Genomic DNA, 23,624 nt, shown 5'->3' on the forward strand with positions numbered 1-23,624 from the left:
ATCACTTCTCCACTCGGTGTGGTCAAGGAGCTTTGCAGCCCTGACTTGTAGCACAGAAAGATTTATTCAGGCCGCATCCACAAAGGGACAGGCAGACTCCTAAAGAATCAGGCTTTGTAGGCAAATGCAGCCCTGCCTGATTTCCAGAGACCTTTGTCCCATGGGATAGGTAAGATGAGCAGAAAATCTGAAACCAGTGGCTTGAAAACTGTTTACCACAGAATTTCCTGTATGGGTCCCATACGTGTACAACACACTTATTTTGAAAATTTTTTCTTCCTTGCTCTTACCTTGCTGAAATCATTGTTTTTACAATAAAGAAAAAAATCAAAAAGTGTTTAAAATAAAAAAGGAGCTCATCTTCTTCCCCCCTCCCATCTCCCCCCCCACCCCCGCCACACACACAGACACACACACACACCTTTTATCCGTCTTCTCATTCCTACTCCTAAACAATTTAAGAGAATCTTCAAGTTTAAGCCATTTTTGAAATGGTTTTGCTCTCATCCCTGGAGGTGTAACAGCCTTTTCCCATTCAGTACTTTATTTTTCCAGATAGTTCATATGGAGTAGAAGGAACATACTATATCTGTTTCTGTACTGATGGATCGTGTTCAGTTGTGTACATTTATCTCTGAGGCCTGCTAATGCCATCTGAGTTTCTAAAATCCTTATTTTTGCAAATCCATTTGTGTCCTGGGTTTAGCTCCTGATTTTAGGATTAGCACAGATTACAGGGTCTGTCTGATGCCTTCTCCAAGCTTTGTATCAGATTTATGGCTATGAATTGAGAAGCTTGCACATAGATAGCGTGGAAACTAGAGGCAGATACGAGCTGATGGGAGAAAAAAGCAAAAGGAGCTCTTGTAAAGAATTGGAGTAGTTATCAGGCCAGATATTTGGATCAGAACCAGTTAAGAACCTGAAAACGCCAACTTTCTGTTTCTTGACTTCACAACTGTGCTGGGCTGCCTGTTCCCTCTTTTCCAGAACAGTTTTCCATGGACCCTGGCTGTGCCTCCTCCCCACCCCACCCAGTGGCTGCCCCCAGAATAGAGTTCTAAGCCATGCTCCAGCCCTCTGGGTGGCATCCTTTGCTAAGAGGGCTCTCTCCTGTCATCAGCAGTCCCTATGGCCTCCATCCTGTCAGTTCTTATTAGACAGCTCTTCTGCTCTACATCAAGGAGCCTGAGAGACTGGAATAAAGGACAGAGATGGGTTTGGGGCACAGAGCAACCCATGCCACTCCTACCCTGTGATGCAGAAATATTAGGGGGATTCAGCCACCTAATATTTTCTGGAAGTGGAAAAAGACATATGTAACTGTGGTAAAGACTCATGGGTCACTTTAGGCTATATGTGTTTTATGCTGCAGCACTAGAACATAGGAGCAGCTTAAATAATCAGATTTATCATCTCACATAAAATGTCAGTCCCTAAGTAGGACAGCTCCAGGGGAGGGGTGGTTGGTTTAACTAAGATATGTCCCCAGGTCAGAATCAGGCACCTTGGTTTTTTCCCTCTTTCTATGCTGCCATTCTCTCCCCATGACCACAAGTACCTTTCTTGGCTGCAAGATGATTGCCATAGCTCTAGGCATTGCATGCTCATACACCAATCGACAAAGGCAGGAGAAGCATAGTTTCTTGTTTTGTGCCTTTTTAAAAGTTTAAAAAGAAAAAAATCCTTCCCCACAAGCATCTCAGCTGACTTCCTTTTACAACTGATTATCCAGATCTGGATGACACATCCACTCCTAAACCACTATGTGAAACCAGGAAAGGGAACTCTTTTCCTCCACCCCAATGATTGGCTGAGACTAGGGATTTGGAGGAGCCATGAATTTGGATACAGAAAATTTTTCTCCCTGAAGCCAGGGTCTTGCTCTATCAAACAGGCTGAAGTGCAGTGGCACAATCATGGCTCACTGGAGCCTCAAACTCCTGAGCTAAAGCAATCCTCCCAACCTCAGCCTCCTGCCTAGCTGGGACTATAGATGGGTGCCACTATGCCAGGCTAATTGTTTTTATTTTTTGTAGAGATGGGATCCTGCTATGTTGCCCATGCTGGGTTTTTTGGGGTTTTTTGTTTTTTTGGGTTTTTTTTTTGGTTGTTGTTGTGTTTTTTTTTTTTTTTTTTGAGACAGAGTCTCACTCCGTCACGCAGGCCAGAGTGCAGTGGCATGATCTCACCTCACTGCAACCTCCACCTCGGGTTCAAGTGATTCTCCTCCCTCAGCCTCCTAAGTAGCTGGGATTACAGGCATACACCACCAAGCCCAGCTCATTTTTATATTTTTAGTAGACATGGGGTGTCAGCATGTTGGCCAGGCTGGTCTCAAACTCCTAACCTCAAGTGATCTGCCCGCCTTGACCTCCCAAAGTGCTGGGATTACAGACGTGAGCCACTGTGCCCTGCCTCCCATGCTGGTTTAGAACTTCCATCCTCAAGCAGTCCTCCCACCTCAGCCTCCGTTAAGTGCTGGGATTATAGGCATGAGCCACAGCACCTAGCGTGTGTCTTTATTTGTATTAACTGCTAAGACTAACTATTTCCTTTGAATATGAATTAAGCAGCAAATCAAAGTAAAACTAATTTATCTATTCATCACCAATAGAAATAAAGAATATATTCATATCATATTACAGTAATTGTAGGAATTTCAGAATATTGTTTACTCTTACCACTTCTTTGAAAGTATAGTAGTTTTTAGAGCTGATGTTAGATCTCTTAGTGTGTTGATAAAGAAATACATGTACTTATATCCTGATTTTGATGGGTTTTTATAAATATTTTCATAATTTTCACTATAATTGGTTTCCTTTGCAATCCTATATATTTCATGCATGTAAAAAGATTATTATTTAAAGGGGTCCATAGGCTACCCTCAACTGCCAGAGGGGTCCATGGCACAAAAAATGACTTATACCAGTCAGCATTTTCCTGAGTCACATACGAGAAAAAAGGATGGGCACCTGCCAGCAGGGAGAAGGTGGAAATGGCTGTTGATCAGGCAACCCGTGGACCTTTCCACAGTGAGTGCCTGTGGACTCAGGCAGCCTAAGTGCCACTCAGTGGTCCCTTCCCTGCTATTGCCCAGCTCCATTTACAGCAGGATCTTCCAAACTTCAGATATTTTTATACCATGCCTGTGCTTTAGCCAAATCCAGGTACCACTGATTATTTCACTAATATTTTTCTTCAAATCACTCTGTTCTTTCTGAAATCTCTTTTTTAAAGGAAGCTTTATTAAATGGAAAAATACCACTTACCATAAATGAAAGGAAATCTTAAAAATAAACACATAGAATACAGAACAGTGTTGGTGAATTCTGGCTAAATCCTATTTGCCTGTAAGGCTCTGCTCCTCTTTTGTGAAAGAGATACTAAAGACAGATTAGCGGCAAACTAAGACATAATCAGAGTTGAGAGATCTTTGAAAAGGGTATAACTTAGTTTGTGGTTTCCATTTTGTGCCCCGTCATTGACCCAGCTAAAATAATTCAGTCCCTGGGCAGGTTTAAGATAGACTCCTTGTTTTACAGACTAGTGACCCACCTACAAAGGAAATGAGTTTTGTATGACTTATTGTTTATGAACCTGCATCTTTTTTTTTTTTTGAGACGAAATTTCGCTCTTATTGCCCAGGCTAGAGTGCAATGGTGTGATCTCGGCTCACTGCAACCTCGGCCTCCCGGGTTCAAACAATTCTCCTGCCTCAGCCTCCCGAGTAGCTGGGACTACAGGCGCCCACCATCATGCCCGGCTAATTTTTGTATTTTTGGTAGAGACAGGGTTTCACCATGTTGGCCAGGCTGGTCTCGATCTCCTGACCTCGTGATCCACCCGTCTTAGCCTCCCAAAGTGCTGGGATTACAGGCATGAGCCACCGCACCCGACTGTCTTCTTCCTTGTTCTTATCTGGACTTCAGAGAATGCAAGAGGCAGAAGCTCTGGGAGACCCTGAGACCACAGCCTCAATTTCCAGGCTCCGAATTGGAACTGGCAGTGATTTTTTTTCTTTTTTTTTTTTTTTTCCAATTCAGGAAAACTTGTTGAGAAAGACAGGCTGACATTTGCTGACTACGCTTTGCAGACTTTCTCCTTAAGCTCTGTTAGTTGTGCATGTTTACACATTGAGTGTGCCTTGTGGGCATTTGTGGGCATGTTTGCATGTGAGTGTGCTGTGATGCCAGAGCAGGCCTCATGTATGACGCCTCAATTTAGTCACTTTTCTTAATGGTTTGAAACGACAAATGTTACTGTCTTTGAGTTAAGTGGTTCAATTAGCACTGATTGGAAAGAGTGGGATGAACTGGGAAAAACACGCAGCCTGTTTGGTAACAGCCTTGGGACGGGAGAGAGGGAAGGTGTTACCCCTGAAAACAGCTTCTCAGTGGTGGCCTGTCCAGCTGCAGTGGCTGTGGAGAGTGCTGCTGGGACCAGTTTTTGTTTTGGAGGGCGAGACGGCAGAAAGCTATTAGAAAAGGGGCCACAGGGAGCTCTCAAGTGATGCAGGGTATATGTGTATCATCCCTGCTGCTGTAAGAGATCCTCAGTTCTCCAAATAAAATATTCATCACTCCCCCATGTGTCTTCTCTACCCCACTGGCTCTTCTGCAGTGCACTTTCAGTGAGTAGAGAGAGAATGGTCCCTCTGGTTTACAGCTCCTTCTTCCAGCTGTTCACACGGGTGTTTGTCTGATCTGTCTTCCTGTCTCCAAAAGAGCAGGACTGTTAGCAGCATTACAGAGCCTTTTGGAGCTCCTTCTAAGCAGCCTTGGCTATTTTGGCCCCACAGTCATCTCAAGGTAGAAATGGGGCCAGAACCTTTCCCCTTCAAGGTCTGCTCCTTTTGCAGTGTTCCCTCTAACCCCTCATGCTACCCTTACTGGAGCAAAACCAGCATGATTTCAACCTGCAGATTTTTTCACTCTTCTCTTCCCAACTCAGCCTGAATTTTATAACACCGTGGAAGGCTCCACAATTGATGAAGTCAAGTCTGGGGGACTTGATCCACTCTGTCAAGTGCCCCAGAAGATTTTCTGTCTTCTGGTTAAAAGAAACAAGTCCCTGCTCCACCATGTTGTTATCTCCCAGCCCCTCTCCTTCCTGTCCTCTCCTCTCTTAACTGCTCTTTCCCCGAAACTGCCCCCACTCCATCCCTCCAAGGCCTCCCGACAAGGACAGTTTCCTCTTCAGGTGCCATTCTGACATGAAGCCCACCAGTTCCCCCTCTTCCTTTCCTTTCCTCTCAAGTCCATCATAGTTCTAAGAGCACTCACCTCCCCAAGCACCACCTGTCATTGATAAGACCAGAAGGCTTGAGGAGCTTCAAGTCTAGTGAAGTGTCAGTGCAGCAGGATGGCATTATGGTCAGCAGCGTGGACCTTGGAATCAGAGACCTGTGTTTGAATTCTGGCCCTGTCACTTACCAGCTGCATGGCCTTAGACCTAAACCACTTAATCCTTTAACCTTCAGGGTCCTCATCCATAAAATGGGGATGATAATATTATGAAGAATTATGGGAAGAAATTGGCTAGAGTGTCCCAGCAACGTATGCAGGAGAGGATAGAATGATGAGGTCCAGGGTACAGTGGATCTCTGGGGCAGTGTGAAGGTAAAAGAGATTCTGAGCTAATGTCTTAGAATCATCAAGTGAAAGCTTGGCTGGAATTGGGGAGGCTGGGGTAAACGCCCACAAAGGAAAGGGTTCTCAGAGAGCACTGCATTCTGAATAAAAACAGAAGTGACCTCAGTGACATTCTCTGTCTAAGGCAGGTAGCCTCAGAGACTGCATGGTTGTTTCCACTGGGTTTTCGTAAGAAGACTGAACCAGACATGCAAGCACTCGCTTACATGTATGTGTGTGTAAAGGAGACGTTAACAGGACAAGATATGGAGCACTTAATTTACCCAGTTCTCCCTCTTCTTTCTCACCTCCCTCTTTTTAGCATGTGGATGGTTTTTCTGTTTGAACGCCTCTATGGAGGCATTTGCAAAAGTCACTGTTTTCTGGCCATCTTTAATGCATGTTTATGTCATTTGCAGACAAATTGAGGCAGAAGGATCCAGCAGGTCCTACAGAAAAAAGTACAGTAGAAATCCCATACCTCATTGTTCTTCTCCTTACCTCTTTTCCCCAGATAACTTATCCTCACAGCATTGAGTCTGATACTGAGAAAAGAAAGCCTCTGCAAGTTTAGCTTCACTGACGTGAGCAGTTCAGTTACTGCACTGTAGCAAGGACTTCATTAGTTATCGACCTTATTGCTGGTATAAAATCTGGGAGCTAGACCCCAAATGAGTTCCACATGTCCCTCAGATCCCCAGCAATTTTGCCATTGGAGCAATACTTGAGAAAAGCTCTCTTTAGCCTCAAGTTTCTGGCTGATTTTTTTGGTCTTCCATCTCTTCCCCCAGTCTTAGGGCCCAAATCTCTCTTCCATTTATCATGTCACCTGCAAATCAAATCTCTGTTCTCTGCATTCCCACAACCATCTACCTATGACCCAGCCAGCCTTTTCCAGAAACATTCCATACTTATTTGACAGAACCATTGTTAATCCAAGAAGATAGGCAGAGCTGCCGTGATGAAGGGCTCTGGGAGGCAGCAGGGCTAAGTCAGTCCTCCTGAGCTGAGAAAGAGCATCATTTCCTAGATGCCTCTGAGCTCTTTTCTGTGTCGTCTCCATTTTGACCGTAGACTCCACCAAATCCACCGCTGGGCCCATGCGAGTGGCAGTAGCTTCACTTGCTTGAGTGAAAGCCTCAGATCCAGTAACTGGGAAGGAGGGGGCTCAGGCTTTCCAGAGGGTGGAGTGCTGACTGCTCCTTCTCTGGTTCTGCCCTGTGTGCTTGCTTCCAGAGCTTCCCACAGCTTCCCAGTGCAGGAGTTTTCCTCCTGGACAGTGTCACCAAATCCTTCCCATGGGGTATCTTGGAGCCACTGTGCAAGTTCATGTTTCTGCCCCTGAGTCCACCCTCCCGAAGACAAAGGCAGAGGCCCAGGAAAGACATTTGAGATGAACAAGACTTTTTACTGTTAGAACAGAAAAATCAAAGTTCAATATCTCCTGTAAGTATGAGAGAGAGAGAGATGGGCTGCAGCTTCCAATGTGAGATGGCCACAAGTCCCATGTTTAAGTTCAAAAATCAGTTACACCATTACAAGATGAAGGTGACCTAGCTTGACAGCAATTTACATGAAAATTACCCCACAGGGTTTTATTTACCACCAACTGTAGCTAACAGTGTGAAGTGACTGATAAAAATTGCATTCATAGAGAAATCATATAGATCAAAGGAGGTAATTATTCTGCACTGCCTAAACAGCATCTGAGATACTGTGTTCAGTTCTAAGCAGTGTGTTTTTAGAGGGATCCTGATAAATGGAGGGGCATTCCTAGGAAGGGACCTGGGTGGTGTAGAATATGGGATCCAGGTCCAGGTAATGGAATTCACTCGGGATGGAAAGAAAGGACAAACACTGATAATACCAATGGTTGTCATGTGGAAGGAGGCAAGGAACGAACACTTGTGTACTTACTGTTGCTAAGTGCTGTGCCCATCCTTTGACGGAGCTTCTCTCGTTTAGTCCTCAAGGTAGCCAGTCCTCTGAGCTAAGTGATACTTGGGTTCAGAGAACTTTCTAAAAGTCATCCACTGGTAAATAAAAAAAATGGATCAGATGTGTTTCCAATTGCTCCAGAGTACAAAACTAAGACCAGTAGGAAGAAGTTCAAGTTAGAGGGCATTCACTTGAAAGAGGACTTTTCTAACAGTGAAATGGGCTTCTTTGAAGGAGATCGAAGTTGATAGACACCGATATCAGAGGTGTAAGGATGACATTTGCTTTGGGGAGGAAGCATTGGGACAGATGACCTTCAGTTCAGTTGGAGTGCTCTGGAACTCACTAGGGCTTTCTGAGGGCAACATCAGGCCCAGAGGAGCTGCCAGGCAGGACGGAAGGCTGGGGCTGCCAGTGGTCCATTTCTTCTGCCTGGACTTAGGGATTACAGGCCATTTATGTCCAGCTCTAGCTCAGTGCCCCAGCTTTAGCCTAATGCCCATCTCAGCTGTCTGGACAAGCTCCCATTCTGGCAGCTTGTCCATCAAGGTTGGATCTGTCTCTCCTCCCGTTTGTGACTCCACTTCATTGCCACAGCTTGTCTTCCCGCCCAGGAAAGGGTATTTGGAAGAAGCTCCATCCTGTCTCCTTTTCCCCATTGGTGCAATCTCCTCCTAGCAGCATCTGCTGAAAGGGGTGTAGTCATCCTGGCCCCAGACAGAGCTGTCTTCCAAGTCACGGATGTTGACGAGGCCTGTGTGTGTATCTGCATGCTCACACCGCAGCCTGATCGATGCCTGTCAGAGCTCAGCATCAGAGTGACAGCTGCATACCAGGCTGTTTGCTGAACACAACTCGTCCGTCAAGGGAAATCAGATGAAATCCATCTCCTTGTCCAAAGCCTGGCCCGATGGGCTGTGTCTGGAATGCCAGTCTTGTGTCCCACCCTACTTTTGTGCCCTGAAAATCATTCCCTCGGATTTCAGTGTTACTTCGATGGGTCCCTTGGGGCAGAAAAATTATAGTTAAGAAAATTATGTGAAAAGACCAATAGTCAGCCCTACCCTTCAGGGACTTCTAGTTTAGAGCTGGTACCTACTGTATGGATAGTGCAAGTCTAGAACACACAAGAATTGGCATATGATTATCTTAAACTGGTTGGTATAAAAATAGAGCATAAATCAAATGCATTGAATAAAAAAATTTGCTTACATATATTGAATAGGCATTAGCCAGATTAAATAGTGTGTTGCAGACAATTGGTGGGGAAGGGTCTCTTTAGAGAGTCTCATTAGAGACACAATTATGGGGTTTTAAGGCTTTCAGAATTGACAAGGACAAGTTTTGGCAGAGGTTCTATGTTTGTAAACCATTTAGGACTGCAGGAAGCTCTGTCACCCCATGTCTTGGCAGTAAGCCAAATAGCTGCTTCTGTTTCCTCTTCCTAAAGCCTCTTTTATCCCATACAAGCATGTACCTGAAACTTCAAGAAGCCCCTCTCTAGCCTCAGCCACTCCAGCACTTCCATTTCCCAAGGCTTTGGGCACTTAAGTGGAGAATTGCCCTGTTCCAGCTCTGTGAGATGCTGTGAGCTAATTCTCTCCCCTTAGCCTGCCCTGTCTTCAGGAGTCTGAGTGACTCTCAGGGTTCAAAAAAAATGGTGCAGGAGGCCAGAGATTTCGGAAGGTAATATTTTCCCCCCACTACCTGGAAAACTGTGGAACACAAAATTGTTCAAAAGACAGAAGTGAGATACCTGGGCAATGGGGGAAAGAAATCAGTCCAGGAGCAAGAGGATGGAACATAGCAGCTGAGAGAGAGTGTTTTCTGGGGTGGAAGGGGACTTACAAAACCCACAAGCAGAGGATGGGGATCCTGGATAAATGGGAGACCAGGGAAAAGCCCTAGTTTCAGAGCGGCACCTTTTTCCTGCTGGTCCTCAAAGGGCCTTTCAGACTAGGGAAGGATTCTCTGGTATTGCTTCCCTGGAGATACACTAGCCAGAATCAGCCTCCTGCTTGGGCCTCCACTCTCCACGCTGTCCTACTCCGGCAGGCTGAGCTTTTCCCCGACCCCAGGCCTGTGGAGTGCAGCAGTCAAAGCTTTATTGCCCACACACTGGAGCCGCTCTGCAATAAAAGAAAATAAAACAAGGTAATGGGAATGGCCGGTACAGGGGGCAGGCCCCTGGAGAAATGGGCCTGCTGCTGCCCATCTTCCCAGCACCACTGATCGCCGCTAAGGCCACTGTCAGTAAGTCATCGGCAGTACCCTGGGTCTCCTTTCTGGGGCTGAGTGAATGACCTGCATGGTGGTCAGATGGAGTGGCGGTGGCATGTACACAGGCTTACTTATGCAGACCTCTGTAGACCACAGGCCTCAGTGCCTTCTCCAGGAGACAGCCCTCCAGTGGCAGGAAGGCAGAGAACAGAGATCGGCATCTCACCTCCTAAGGCAAACCAGAGTGGGGAGGAAAAGAGTCCCACCCAGTGGTGCCCCAGAGGTGGCCAGGAACAGAGGTTGGTGTTCTTAAAGACAGCCTTGGCTGTACCATATCTATGGTAAGTGCTGGTAACACAGAACTATCTGGCAGAAGGGGAATCTGGAAATGCCCAAAGGGAAGTGGAGGGAGGCACGAGCACCTAGCTGCCTATCCTACCAAGGTCCCCACCTCACACATAGATTGTTCTGCATAGCAGATATGAATGCCTTGCACGGAGGTTGGCATTAGCAATGGTTCAAAGTCTCCAGTAATTTTCATTTTGTCATGTGGCATGTCTGGCCCTTTGACCAAAGAGCTTTTAAATTCCTCCTCCTCAGCCCCCTTTTTCTTCTTCCTCTCCCTGGCTCCTCTATCCCCAGGCTGGATCCAGACTTGTTAATGAGCCTCGGCTTTTCTCCCCACACATGAGGCACTAAATCTTCCCTGCCTGCCTCGTGACCTACAATCATTTCCCAAGCTCACCTATGCCCATGAATACTTAATTTAAAACTTCTGCTGCCTCTCAGTAGTTTGTAATTCTGAGGCCGAAGTCAACAGAGGAAACAAAATGGGCTGATGAATGTATTGAGGAAGGTGAGCAGAAAGCCATACACAGCATCTCTGTGATGTGGGGAAAGCCTTTCTTAACGATTTAGTTTAATAAGATGGATGTCTGCAGTGTAGAGTTATTCTAATAGGATGGATATCTGCCCGATCTATTGGCCTGCAGGATGGTTATGAGTTTTAAATTTCCACATCTCCAGGGCAATAAATTCTCTGGGCTTTTAAATTATAAACTTCGTGGTTTTGTTTTGTTTTGTTTCAGTTGGGAAAGCTGGAAGGATTTTGTTTTGGTCAGAGCATGAAAAAGGTAGATCCAGTCAGGGGGTTGGGAGGCAGGAAGGTGGGCCGGGTTCTGTTCTTTCAGCCTTACCTTCTCCACAGCCTGTGCTCCTCCCCCTGGCAGCTCTGTAGGACCATGGGTTCCCATGTTCTTGTCATCTCAGTGTGGCTGATGTTCCCACCACAGGGATCTAAAGGAGCCCCTGTAGCTTCAAAGTTAGAGCCCCTCTCTGGGTGTCTGCTGTAGCTTTCCTCTGCAGAGTAATGGCAGCAGGGGAGGAAGGAAATGGGAACCTATTGGCCTTACAGCAAGGGGATGCCCTAACCTGACCACCTCCCAGTGCAGGTCCAAGAAGAAGAGGTTGCAGCCAGTGGCTCCCAGGTAGTCAGAGAAGTAATGATGAGTTTTGGGGCTGGGCTCATGCTGAGCAACCAACAGAGAATAGATGCAACGAGCCCCAAAGGTAATGAGCCCAGAATGCTGCTAACTGGAGTGCTCCGCCTGGGATCACTGGAGAAAGGAGCTCCGGCAGTTCTGTGCTGAGGGAAACTGAAGCTTCCTTAATGACTTTTTTCCTTTATACTGACACATCACTCCTCGGCCCAAGAGCAGAGCAACCAGGGCTAGCAGGAAGACAGATGCCTCTCCCTGGGTCTGCTTCCTGGCCTTTCTCAGCATGCCTTCATCCCCCACTCGCTGGGCCAGAGCCTCTACCTCGGCTGTCTCAAAAACTTAGACATCTGGGAGTGTGCTGCTCCCAGATGTCAGCAGAATCATGCTGCCTGCTGACTAGTGACAAGAGCCAGGCTCTGGAATTAGGCAGGACTGAGTTCAAATTCTAGCCTCTCCATTGATCAAATGACCTTGGGCAAGTTCTTCTCTAAGCCTCCATTTTTTTATTAGTAAAATGGGACTTAAAACAACCACTTCACAAAATGGTTATAAGGATTAAGTAAAACAACATGCATGTCTTTGTGAACTTAATTCAGTGTGTAGCACACAGCAGATACTCAATAAGTGTTAATTCTCTTCCTCTTCCCTGTAACAAGGAGCTATTGGTCTTTCCTTCAGATGTGGAATTGGACAACTGCAGAGCCTCTTGCCTCGAGCATTTATGATCTATCCCCTGCCAAGCCTGGCTTTTGGACAGAACCTGTGTTCAGGGGCAGTAGCTGGAAGGGCGCAGCCATAATGAGCCAGCCTTTGCCCCAGATACTATATGCCATGGACTGCATTTGGATCAGTAACAAAAGAAAAAAGGGCCTTGTTTCTCTGAGATTATCCTCCCTTTATGTTCTTTGAATCAAACATTCTTAAAAGCAAAGACAAATCAATAGATAAGTACCAGTGATTGGCATCTGTATTTCCATTTCATTCGATTCATTTAGCAAACATGCACTGACCTTCTACTGTGTGTCAGGCGCCATGCTAGGAGTTGGGACCACAAAGTCAAATAGTTTTCTGCCACAAAATCAAGCTCTGTTTTCTGCCATCAAGGAGTTGGCAGACTCATGAGCTCATCAACAATGAGAATACAGGGTGGTACAGTAGTCCCCCCTTATCCACAGGGAATACATTCCAGGACCCTCAGTGGATGCCTCAAACCACAGACGGTGCCAAACTAGACATATACAGTGTTTTTTTCCTACATATGCATGCATATAATTTATACATAAGGTATAAGATTAATAACAATAATAATAAAACAGAACAATTATAACAATATGCCAGCATCACTACTCTTGTGCTTTGGGGTATTAAGTCAATAAGAGTTACTTGAACACAAGTACTGTAATTCCATGACAGTCGATTTGGTTACAGAGAGGGAGAGGGTTACTAAGTGAGTTACAGGCGGGTAGCATCTACAGCCTGGATATGCTGGACTGAGGGATGATTCATGTCCCAGGCAGGAGGGCAAGAGGTTTCATCACGCTACTCAGAACGGCACACAGTTTAAAACTTTGAATTATTTCTGGAATTTTCCATTTAATATTTTCAGACAGCGGTTGACCACGGGTAAATGAGACTGTGGAAAGGAAAACCGCAGATAAGGGGGACTCCTTTATATACTCTGTGGTGCACAACTGGGGCTTCAGAAAAGATTTCCTGGAGGAAGGACTGCCGAGGCTGAATCTATAAGAATTAGACATCTGCCCAGCCAAGGGGAGAGGAAGGACATGAATTCCAGTGAGAGATTCAAATGCAGCAGTTAGGAATAGCATTTCGTCGCTGGTAATATAGACCAAAAACAGCATTCGTTTAACAAGATTAAAGTTTGCTTCTTTCTCATAGGAAGCCCAGAGGTGGGCAGTTCAGAACCAATACAGTGGCACCTGGTATCAGCAGGGATCCAGGCCCCTTCATTCTCCTGCTCAGCATTTCTTAGCACATGGCTTACATTCTCAGGGTCCAAGGTGTCTACAGATCTCTAGCCATTTACCTCATCCTTCCAGTCAGGAAGCCAAAACACAGGAAGAAAGCACAAAGATAGCAAATGCTTTCCTAGAAGTCCCACCAAGAAATTTCTGCCGAATCTCGCTAGTGTGGCCAGTGAGAAACAAGACTTGGGGATTGTAGTCTTTCAGCTGACCATACTGATGCATGCAATAAAAGGAACAGAAAAAGGAGAGAATGGAGCCAGGGAGATAGATCTCTACCACACACAGTGTGTCCAAAGGCACAGAGATATGAAACTTCAGTGTGTGTTGAGGGAACACAGAGATCAGTCGACCCAGATCAAAGAGTCCCTGTAGTATAAGGCAAGTAGGAGGTGGTGGAAATGAGACTAGAGACACAAATCCACATTTCCCTGCAGGTACTAAAAGTGACCAGTGCTCAGGCTGGGGCTGGGCAGGCAGCATCTACCAAAGGACTAGTCCCTTAGCCTGGCTATCAGGCCAGGATTCACAACCTCTAGTTCACCACACCCTGCCCTCTCTCAGAGGAAAGCTCCCATGTAGTTCTAGAAATCACAGAGACCTGACCCCTTGCCAGTGCTAGGCAAACAAGCTGGGCTATGCATCAGCCAAAGGCCTGCAGTGTTCTCTTAGAGAACAACAGAGCTCAGTCACTCTGTGACCTAGGTACACTCAACATACGTTTCTATTCTCACTACATGTGCTTAGCACAATGAGATGAGCCAACAGTTATTGAGTTCTTATTGTTCTAAGAGCTTGATATATATTAACTCATTTAAACCTTGTGAGGGAGATGTTCAGCTTTATTACTCCCATGTTACAGCTTGAAGAAACTGAAGCACAAAGTCTTAAAATAACTCCCTCCAGGTCCCTGAATGGCAGAGGCTAAATTTGAACTCAGATAGTCTGGCTGCAGAGCTCTCACTGGGTACCTCTGTGCAGTTCTGCCAATTGATATCACCCTGAAATCAAGAGGAAAATGTTGGACTAGAGGCAGGTAGGTGAAGGCAGGACCAGGCACAAAGCATTTTGCTTCTCTTTTATGCAGAGAAGGATTGAAAATTCATGCATCTGACCACATCTGGTAAAGGCTGGGCCTTCAGCCTTTTTCTCCTCTTTCTGACTCCTTTGATCGCTCTTGTAAACATTCTGACTCTAGTTCAGCGTGGTCCATTCACAAGCTTCCACATGCATCATTTCTTCCCATGTCATTCTCCCAGCCATCACAGGATTTTTATACATGTTGTTCAGGTTCCTCTCGTTCCGTCCCTCCTTCCCTCCCCTCCTTCCTTAAAACCAGCCCCTGATTCCTCCATCCCCGATCTGTCTCAGCAGGTGGGTGGGCTCTGACTGTTCCCCTTGCCCATCCTTCAAGTCAGCTCTCTCCAGCTTTTCCTCTGAGCTGCTTGCACCTTCTCCTGGCTTCTGTTCTCCCCGTCATCCCGTGTTTCTCTAATGTCTACTTGCACCTCCACTGACCTCAGCATGGCTTTCTGTCCCAAAATTCTACCCTCGTTCCTTCTTCTACCCTGCCACTTATGCACTATTTCTAAAGTGTGACCCTAGACATTCCCTATGCTGGAACATGTCTGCCTTTCTCCCCACCTGTGAAGTCCCATCCTTTAAGGTCCGATCCTACCTGAAAGAGTTTCCCGACTCTTCAGTGCTCAGAGCTGGCTCTCTCCCTTGAACCCCCCTAGTACCTGCTGCCTGTACCACTCAGCAGTCATGTGTTTTACATGGCATTTTGTCATTGACTGACAGGATGTGGCTTTATCGTGTCTTCTCATCTAAATCATAGGCTCTTTGAAGACAGAAGTGAATTCTCTCTCCTTTTAGACCTACTGCAGTGCCTAATACAGTGCTTTTCTGCTTAGAAGATAACAAAAACCCATTTCTTGGTCAGTTGATTAAAGTGAATGTTAGGTCTCTTTACATACTTACTGATTTTTATACATGCACGTTCTCTCAACATGTGTCTTCTCACTTTGAGGAACCCTAATCATTTTTTGAATGTTGTCATATGTTTCATCAGCTCAACTAGGCATCCCAGTCCTTCTCTAGCCCTGCTGTCTTTCTGGAGATGCAGTGCTGAACCACAAGCATCCTTCCTTGCAGTGTACATTGTACTGTGGTACAGGTTTAACCTGCATTTTCTGCTGTTTGTCTGGCCTTGGAAGCTGTCTTTGTTAGGAAAGCTCTGGACAGCAACCAGGAATGTAGCCACACAGAAGGTGCTGCTCAGAAACAAAAGAGCCCTGCCAAGCACAGTCTTCCCCAGGAATCCAGCACGTTCTCTTTATGAAGCACTCTGTAGAATCGTGCTGCACATGCCCCAGCTGTGGGGACTGGGGCTGAATTTCAAACAAACAGGAAAATAGCCCGTTCAGAGGGCTTAACATGTAAGAGGTAATGGATTACCAAGAGCAAGTGGATATAGGACAAGATGAATGTTGAGATGGAGTTACTTGTTAGGAAGAGTGGATCAGGGAAGGCTTCCTGGAAGACAAAAATAGTGGGTGTGGGTTGCCCCTTGCAAGCAGTTGCAGCTATTTTCATTATGTACTCCTTGATAACACATTCCTGAAGGTGATGGCTTAGCACTCCTTTACTGGTTGATGAACAGATCTCCTTCTAAGTGGGCTCTGCCTCCCTCGTTCGCATGTGGGAACTGCAGCTTGTCTGGCCTTTGAGCCATGATGCAGGATCATGATATCAGGGACTGGCAGGGTTGTAGGGGATGGGTTGGGCAGCTCACACAACAAGCAGATCAAATGGGCCAGAGCAGAGGGTCCGTGAAGGAGAGTCAGAGGAAATGAGATTGGTGACATGGAAGCATGACACCATTGAATATGCTCTCTCTTTGAGAAGATACAAGATGCTGAGAATCTCCTCTGAGTCCTTTTTTATTTTTTCCTGTCTTCTCTGCAGTGTCTTCACAAGCACCTGCTTAAAATAAAGGATGGGGCTTGGCCTTTCCCTTCCTCCTCCCTGCTCCTTAACTTCCCACTCTGCATTTTCCTGCCTGCTGCCTCTAGGCAGCAGCTCAGGAGCAGTGGGCAATTGAGAGCAACTCCTGAGAGCACTAAAAGAAATCACATTGCTTAAATGGCATTTACACCGAGGGGTGGGGTGGTAGTGGCAGGAGTCTCAAAGCTTTTTCCGAGGGCACTGTGGCAAGAAGTCCATGGTGGGAAGAGTGGCATCCAGGTGTCCTCTATCCAAGGAGGCAGCTGTTCTTATTCAAGGGTGGGGTCCATTTTCTTCCTCCAAAGTCAAAGAGATTCTCTTTAAAAGCTCAATTGTGACTTCTGGGACATCTTAGCAAGAGACACTGAGCGTCTTCATTTCCTCTCTCCATTTCAGGACACACCTCCCTTGGAGGAGTGCTTTCTACCTGGAAAGCAGTGCATGTATCAGTGGAATTCTGCTTAGCACAACAGAATTGGGAGGTGGAGCAGGGAGAATGAGGCCACCCTGGCCCCACTGGGGGGTCACAAGACAGCTACTTCATGCCTGAGAACAGGGCAGAATCAGGCTGGGCAAATAGTAGGGCTGAGGGACTACCCGCTGCATCCTATGACCTTGTTAACGGAATTGTATTTGGGACATTGGTTTGAAGTGGAGAGAGAACAATAATTGAAATTAATGAAACCCTGGCTCCTGTCAAGCAGATGGGCAGAGAGTCACATCAACACCCATGCTGCTGACCCATCCTACAGATTGTTCTTTCCCATCACTAATATTTCTCCGTATCTCACCTCTGATCTCATTGCAGTGGCTTTGAGAACTTTTAGGAGCTGATCACAAGGCCCAAAAACCATCAAGAGCCCCTGTCCTGGGCAGTGGGTAAAGTGGAAGAAGGAGTGTGGTCCCTGTGTGGAGAAGCTGTGGGGTCAAGATGCCCGGGCTAGGCAAGGACCACTGGGTCCCACAGCAGAATGAGGAAGGCCAGAGGCAGCACTGCTCATTGTGACCTATACGTTTCTAGGTCACAAACTGCAGCCCTGCACTAGGAGTTTGAGAGGGCTGCGGCACATTAGAGCTCCACTCTGAGGGTGTAAGCCATGCCATATTTTAATTGTCATTAGCAATAAAAAACTAGCAGTGAGGAAACCCAACCTCCACACAGAAGAGGGCATGGGCCAGGGTCATTAACCAGGCTGATCCAGCCTCTGACATGCTGCATTTATCCTTATTTCACGTGTATGTGTTCAAACCTTATAATTGGTAGCTTTTACTCACAGGCTTTTCCTTGCATTCCTGAGAGGCCAGAGCAATCCTGGGCCCCCCAGGTCATACCGAGCAAGAATCCAGTTGTACTATGCATAGGAGGGTGAATGCAGAATAGCCTTCTAGCACTGGCGCTGCAGGAGCTCAGAGCCCAGGCTCAGGGGCTCAGCGTCATCTCAAAGGCCTCTTCACTTTCCTTGCTGGGTTATAATAGGTTTGAAACAGTTTGGGAACATGCACAGTCCCCCACAGTGTCCAGATCTTCTCTCTACTGTGCCTAAAGGCAGCTCCTTAGTCGGGTGAGAGGAGAAGCTTGGACTTTTTTATTCTGTGTCCGATCTGGAGTGTAGGTTAACGGGGCTGCTGCCTCCCTGCAATGGTGCTTTTGTGTGGATCAGAAAAAGTTGCCCTCTCTGGGCCATTGTACTCAGCATATGCTATGCATCGCTTGGTGAGGAAAGCAGGCTTCTGTCAGGCTTTCTGCTTGGCACATGGAGGCAGGGTAGATTTAAGGACAGGTAGGAGTGAGTTATGTACAGGGGCATAGGACTGCCTCAGAGGGGATGGTACCTTCAAGCCAGCCTAATGATAAAAGAGGCGTGAGGACAAAAGGAAAGAGAAGGGGCAAGGGAGTCCCTTCCTTTCACCCTCTGGTGCTTTCAGCTGTGCCTTTCATGCAGTTAATCAAACATTAGTCAGGGAGGGATGGGCATGTGTTTGGTTGAAATTGTTTGGCGTTTCTTATATTCAGTTTTATGAAGCAAGTAAATTGCCTGATCCCTAGCTGAGAGTATAGAATTATCTCTGTTCAGTTATCTGTTCAAACAGATTCTTCTCTCTGGTGCCTTCTTCTGGCCTGCAAGAGGGATTGGCGTCTGTGTCCCTTTTGCCAAGAAATCAGATGGTAAAAGAGAAGGTGCTCCACGTCCCCTTCCCACCCTGACATGGGACACTCCTGTCTTATCCTGGCAGCTTTTGGCCTCCACACCCACAGCCCAGTTTTGAGAACTCTGAAGGGATTGAGCTAGGGGTTGGCATCCCAATCTAAGCCCCGGATTCCTTCAAACCCAACAGCAACTGCCTTTCCTCAAAGGTTTCCTTGTTCCAGAGGGCTCGAGACCAGCACCTGGCGGGTGACTTGTAGCTTCCAGCCGTCTCAGCCCGTGTACTTAGATGCTTCCTGAGGTGACTGTGGCCTGACCAGCACCACCTAATCCCTTGCTTGGAGGGCTTCACGCTAGACAGTGGTCTGGGCTCCGGGGGTCCAGGCTTCATGGCATCTGTGGCCTCACCCCACCTCCCACCTCTGCTCAACGTCGTTAGCTCATGCCCTATCCTCACAGCTCTTCCTAGGCTCTCTCATGTCCACTTTTGCTCTTCACCCCTTCCTTGCTGAGGGATGGGTGGTGAGGAGGTGGTGGATGCGTGGGAGACCGGAGGGAGGCACACACGGCTGCTGCCTGCACTCCTGCCTGGATAAACAGAGGAGGCCATCCTCACTCCAGTTATAGTCAGTACAGGCAAAGCCAAGTGCAAAACAGCCCCTTCTGTTCATGGCGTCTGGGCTGTGCTGCCTCTGAGTCATCACTGCTGGCCTCACTGACTGAAGCCAGTTTCTGCCCCTCTGGGTCCCACAAGCATGCTTGTCGTGGCAGGGGCAGCTGAGGGATGGTCCTCTCACCTTCGAGGAGTTCTTGAAATAGGCCTTCTCCAGTCAGTTTGGTGCCATGCATGTACCCAAAGGTAGTATTCTGTCCAGGGACTTTCCTTCTCCCACGTCACTGCTGGCGATCTGGAGAAGCTAGAATATTTTGCCTTTCCTCATCTATTTATTGAATGCCTACCAGGTGCCATTAATAAATGCCCATTGTAATACTGTCATGGTGATATGAGTAAAGTGCTGTGAGAACAAGCCCTACCCAGATAAGTAATGGAGTGGTTCAAATAAAATCACATCTGTGCAGAATCCAAGGGGTAAGTTGGGTAGGAGTTTACAGGTGAAGTCATAGGACGGAACATTCCAGCCAAAATGAATAGCATGTGCCAAGGCCTGGAACCATGCAACTTGTCTGTGGAGCTGGGAGTTGTGTGGCCTGACTAAAGCAAAATAATGAAGGCCACAATGGCAGGACTTGAGAGCAGGAAGAGCCCAGCTCTGAGGCGCTTATTCTGTGCTGTACTGAGGAATTCCAACATTAGTGGAGAACAAGGAAAGGATTTCAGCAGAAGGGTGAAGTGATCAGATTGGGAAATTTTTTTTTTTAAGTAACAACATTTATTGAGCACTTACTATTCGCCAGACTCTCCTTAAGTGTTTAACTTGAATCAGTTCACTTCCTCTTCACTGAAGCCCTTTGAGGTAGGTAGCATTCATTATTATACCCATTTGACCACAAGGTAAACCTAGACCCAGAGAGGTTAAAAAAAAACCCACTCTAGATTAAGCCAGTAAGTAGTAGAGCAAGCGCAGAAGGAGGTGGTCTGGCCCTAGAGCCTGCATCTGACCATGGTGCTGCACTGCCTGTGATGAGCCACACCCTCCAGTATCATGGAGGGGTCCTTAGAGACAAGTCTGGTACAGAGACAGCAGTGGGGGACCTGTTACTCAAAGCTGGGCATGGCAATAAGGATAAAAAAGAGGGGAAGAATCCAAGAGCCATTTCTGAGGTAGAATCAGTGTGTATTGGTGCGGACCTACCTGTGGAGCCCAGGGGTGATTCCTGTGCTACTCATGCTGCGGCCTGGGATGAGAAATGGAGGTGGAAGAACAGGTTTCATAGTGAAGGTGAGAGATTCAGAATGGGACTCATTACATTGGAGATTCACCTGGTGGAGCTGAATTCTGAAGTGAGCGCTGCACTAGAGGCGAAAGTTGAGTTCTATAATTCAGAGAGCAGTGGGATGCAGGGACTGTCTACAGCTTAAAATAGCCCCTGGGGAACGTTCATATTCAAGGGCCATGTTGTTGGGGAAGAATTCACAATTGCTACTAAGAAAGCAGGGAGAAAAAGCCAAGATTGGGAAACACAGGCCTAAAAAAAGAAAGTTTCCAAAAGGAAAGGGGGTGCTTGACTTTTACAGATATTTAAAAGGTCAAAAATGATTAAATCTGAGAAGAAATTATTTAAATGGCAATTAACAGGTCTTTGAAGTAATAGTGACATTGGAGTACTGACTGGTAGCCAGCTGCATTGGCTACAGAAGTGAAAAGGGGCTGGCAATGTGCAGAGTACTCTCTGGGTAAAGAGAAAGAGGTAGACTTGATGGGATATGAGTCAAAGCAAGACTTGCTAAGATGGGCAAGATGTTTGCAGGTGAAGAGTTAGATGCCGGTGAAAAAGGAAATCGGGAAGGTGATGACAGAAAGAGGTAACTGATGGAAATGGGTACCTGAGGAAGCAGAAGAGGTTGTGATCTGGAGCCAAGTTCATTTCTTTTTCTGCAAGATGGATGGAAGGGAATGAAGTAATCATGGATGCTAAATGCTTCTTAACAGCAAAGTGTGGGTCTCCGTGGGAAACCCACTGTGGTTCAGGTATAGGAGCCTGAGAATCAAGGTCCACAAAGCAGAGCGGACTGGCCCCATTGGGGGGGTCACAGGTCAGCTACTTCCTGCCTGGGAACAGGGCAGGGGTCTGTACCATCCCACAGCAGGCCTTGAGGTCAGTTATATAGGTACAGGTACCTGCAGAGGGGAACTGACACGTGAACTTGACCTGATTGGACAACATTTGGTTACTTTCAGACCAAGTCAGAGATTTAATAACCTCATGCAGTTACTCCATAGATCATACACCGATTTTCCCCAAGAAAAGAGGCCAACTGTCTTCTCACACCCCTAGCTCCATCCCTTTAGGGCTTGGGTACAGCTCTAAAGCCATAGAGGTTCTTTGGCTGGGCCTGGGAGAACATGGGCCACTGCTGCTGACTCCATGGCCCAAACCAGTGTTCAAGATAAAGAACGGACGCACCGAATGGAAGGCAGCCTTCTCTCCTGGTTTTTTGCCTGGGACTGCCCTTCACGTCAACTGGGAACATGAGGAGGAGCTGTGCCATTCAGGCATGCCTGCTCTGGCTTGGGAGACCTTTGGGAAGATGGGTCCGGGACAGAATGAGGGCCCCCTGATTCTAGCCACATCCCTGGCACCAGCCTCAGGGAAGAGTGTTAAATCTCCCTCCAGCTTCCAGCACGGGTTTTTCCTGGGAAGATGAACAGTCTGCTTCCTTATTGCCTGCACCAAAGGAACAGATTGCGTCAGTTTGTAAACTGTGTTAGCGCTCGCAAAGGCCTGGAGTCAGCAGGTTTGCATTTCCCAGCAGACCCAGATGATGCTGATGGCAGTGGCTGCTGCCTCACTGCCTCAGGCAGGACCGAAGCTGCCCCCCTACCCCTACCATCCCACCCCTCATCCCTGAGGTAGGGAAAAGGCATTCCAGGCGGGAGAGAAAGCCACCCTGAGCTTCTAGAGCCAGCTCACCCACAGCACAGGCCTTTTCTTTTCAGGAGCCTCTTGGCCCCTCTTGCTGGTGTGCCAGCCCAGGCCTGATTTCCAGGCATTCCTAGCACTCCAATGCCAGAAAAGAGGTTTTCTAGAAAAGCAATCCACTCTGTGGGCTGCGCTTGAAAGAGTTACCTGGTCTGGAGGTGATGGGGGATTAGGAGCAGAGGCGTCAGTGGGGATCAGAACCACATTGCCACAGTAGCACATGGAAAATCCGTGCTGCTGCCTGCCTCTAGCCAGCCCACTCCCCACGGTTGCAGATGGTAACGAGACCCAGGAGGTATTGCATAGGCACAGCCTCTCGCCTTCCACAGCATCGCCTTATTAATTGCATTGTTAATGTTCATCATCTCTGAAAGAAGTCGGTGTGGCTGTGTGTGACCGGGAGTGGAGGGGATGAGCTGGCTGTGTTAAACTGTTACTGTGTTAAGGTGAGGTATCTCTTCAAGTTCACAGTTCTGGCTGTGGCAGCATGCTACAGCCTTCACGCAGCATCAGTGATGGTAGAAAACCCAGCCTTGGGCAAGGCTACCACTGCATGGCAGGAAAGGACCCAAGCTACATGCTGGTTACTCCAGAACACTACTCACATTCTTGAAAAAAGCTGCAGCCAGGATGAGTGGGTTGGGAAGAGGCAGGAGTACCTTGGGCTCCGAGTCATTATTCAGTTCCCGTCTCTCCATTTCCCGCGCCCCCCTGCAAGTTCTCCTACAGGACTTGATCGTTAGCAAATGGGGCTTCCCTGCTTGCCCTTCTCTCCTGTGGAACTGTTGCTTTTCATCTCTCCTGTTGGCTTGCAGGCACAGTCTGTCAGCTTTGCTGCCCCCATTCTCTGACCTCAGAGAATGCAGAGCAGAGAGAACCTTGGAAACTTTGTTCAACTCTCATTTCCCAGATGGAGAAACTAAGCCCAAAGAGAGGTGCAGTGTGCCCAGCCCATAAGAGGCAGGATTGGCACCTGGATCACAGTTCTAGCCCAGGGCCTTTCTCTGCTCCTCAGCTCCTTCTTCCCATCCAGGCCGCTTGCTGTGATTGTTGCTGGTTGCTTTAGGAATATTGAAAGCAGGAATATGGCCAGACAGCACATGGAAATGATGGAGAATTCTGCCTCTAAAGCCTGTCTGTGGGGACTCTGATGTCACCTTCCCACAGGTAGCCCTGAGCAGCCCCACCCTGCTACCTGGAAGAACTTACAGCCAGCACCCCACTTTGTGCAGTGACTTCCTTCCCAGATGCCTCAGGGCAGTGGCGCCCTGTGCTGGGCTCTTTTCTACTTGGGACCTGCCTGTCCTGCTTGAGGCAGCCCACCTTCCTTGGTACGGGAGCATCCTCCACAACTGTTTTCAGGCAACCTACAGCCTCGCAACCCAGGGCTCTGAGGTTGGCTGAGGCTCAGTAATTTTCTGTACTGCCTCAGGCATTGTGCACTGCAGTAACGCCTGTGCACTTGGGGAAGACAGTATCTCTTCTCCATCCTCCCAGAAAGTAAAAAGGGAAAGGCTTGTATGTGTGTGGGGTCTCCCTGTCCTCCCCCCATTGCTAGTAAATCCCCTGTGTGAACGCTCTCCTTTGGGT

At 47.4% G+C, this 23,624-nt stretch overlaps 1 protein-coding gene and 1 long non-coding RNA gene across 2 annotated transcripts in view, besides 1 other annotated feature; one reads left to right on the plus strand and one right to left on the minus strand.

The window, feature by feature from the left end:
• SND1 (staphylococcal nuclease and tudor domain containing 1) overlaps nucleotides 1-23,624 on the plus strand; it is a 440,400-nt gene that overhangs the window by 392,051 nt on the left and 24,725 nt on the right. The window lies entirely within an intron of this gene.
• Nucleotides 3,229-9,593, minus strand: LOC124901743 (uncharacterized). The gene is made up of 2 exons (XR_007060515.1): nucleotides 9,494-9,593; nucleotides 3,229-8,575 (listed from the first exon to the last, which is right to left on the minus strand). It is a non-coding gene; the product is annotated as an uncharacterized LOC124901743 (long non-coding RNA).
• Nucleotides 22,111-22,611: an enhancer, noted in NCBI's record as "H3K4me1 hESC enhancer chr7:127706407-127706907 (GRCh37/hg19 assembly coordinates)". NCBI's record gives its function as "activates a minimal SCP1, AML or CMV promoter by ChIP-STARR-seq in primed H9 embryonic stem cells {active_cell/tissue: H9 hESC(primed)}" and the evidence as "EXISTENCE:reporter gene assay evidence [ECO:0000049][PMID:30033119]".

The sequence above is a fragment of the Homo sapiens genome, chromosome 7 (genome assembly GCF_000001405.40).
Source record: "Homo sapiens chromosome 7, GRCh38.p14 Primary Assembly".
Taxonomy (NCBI): Eukaryota; Metazoa; Chordata; class Mammalia; order Primates; family Hominidae; genus Homo; species Homo sapiens.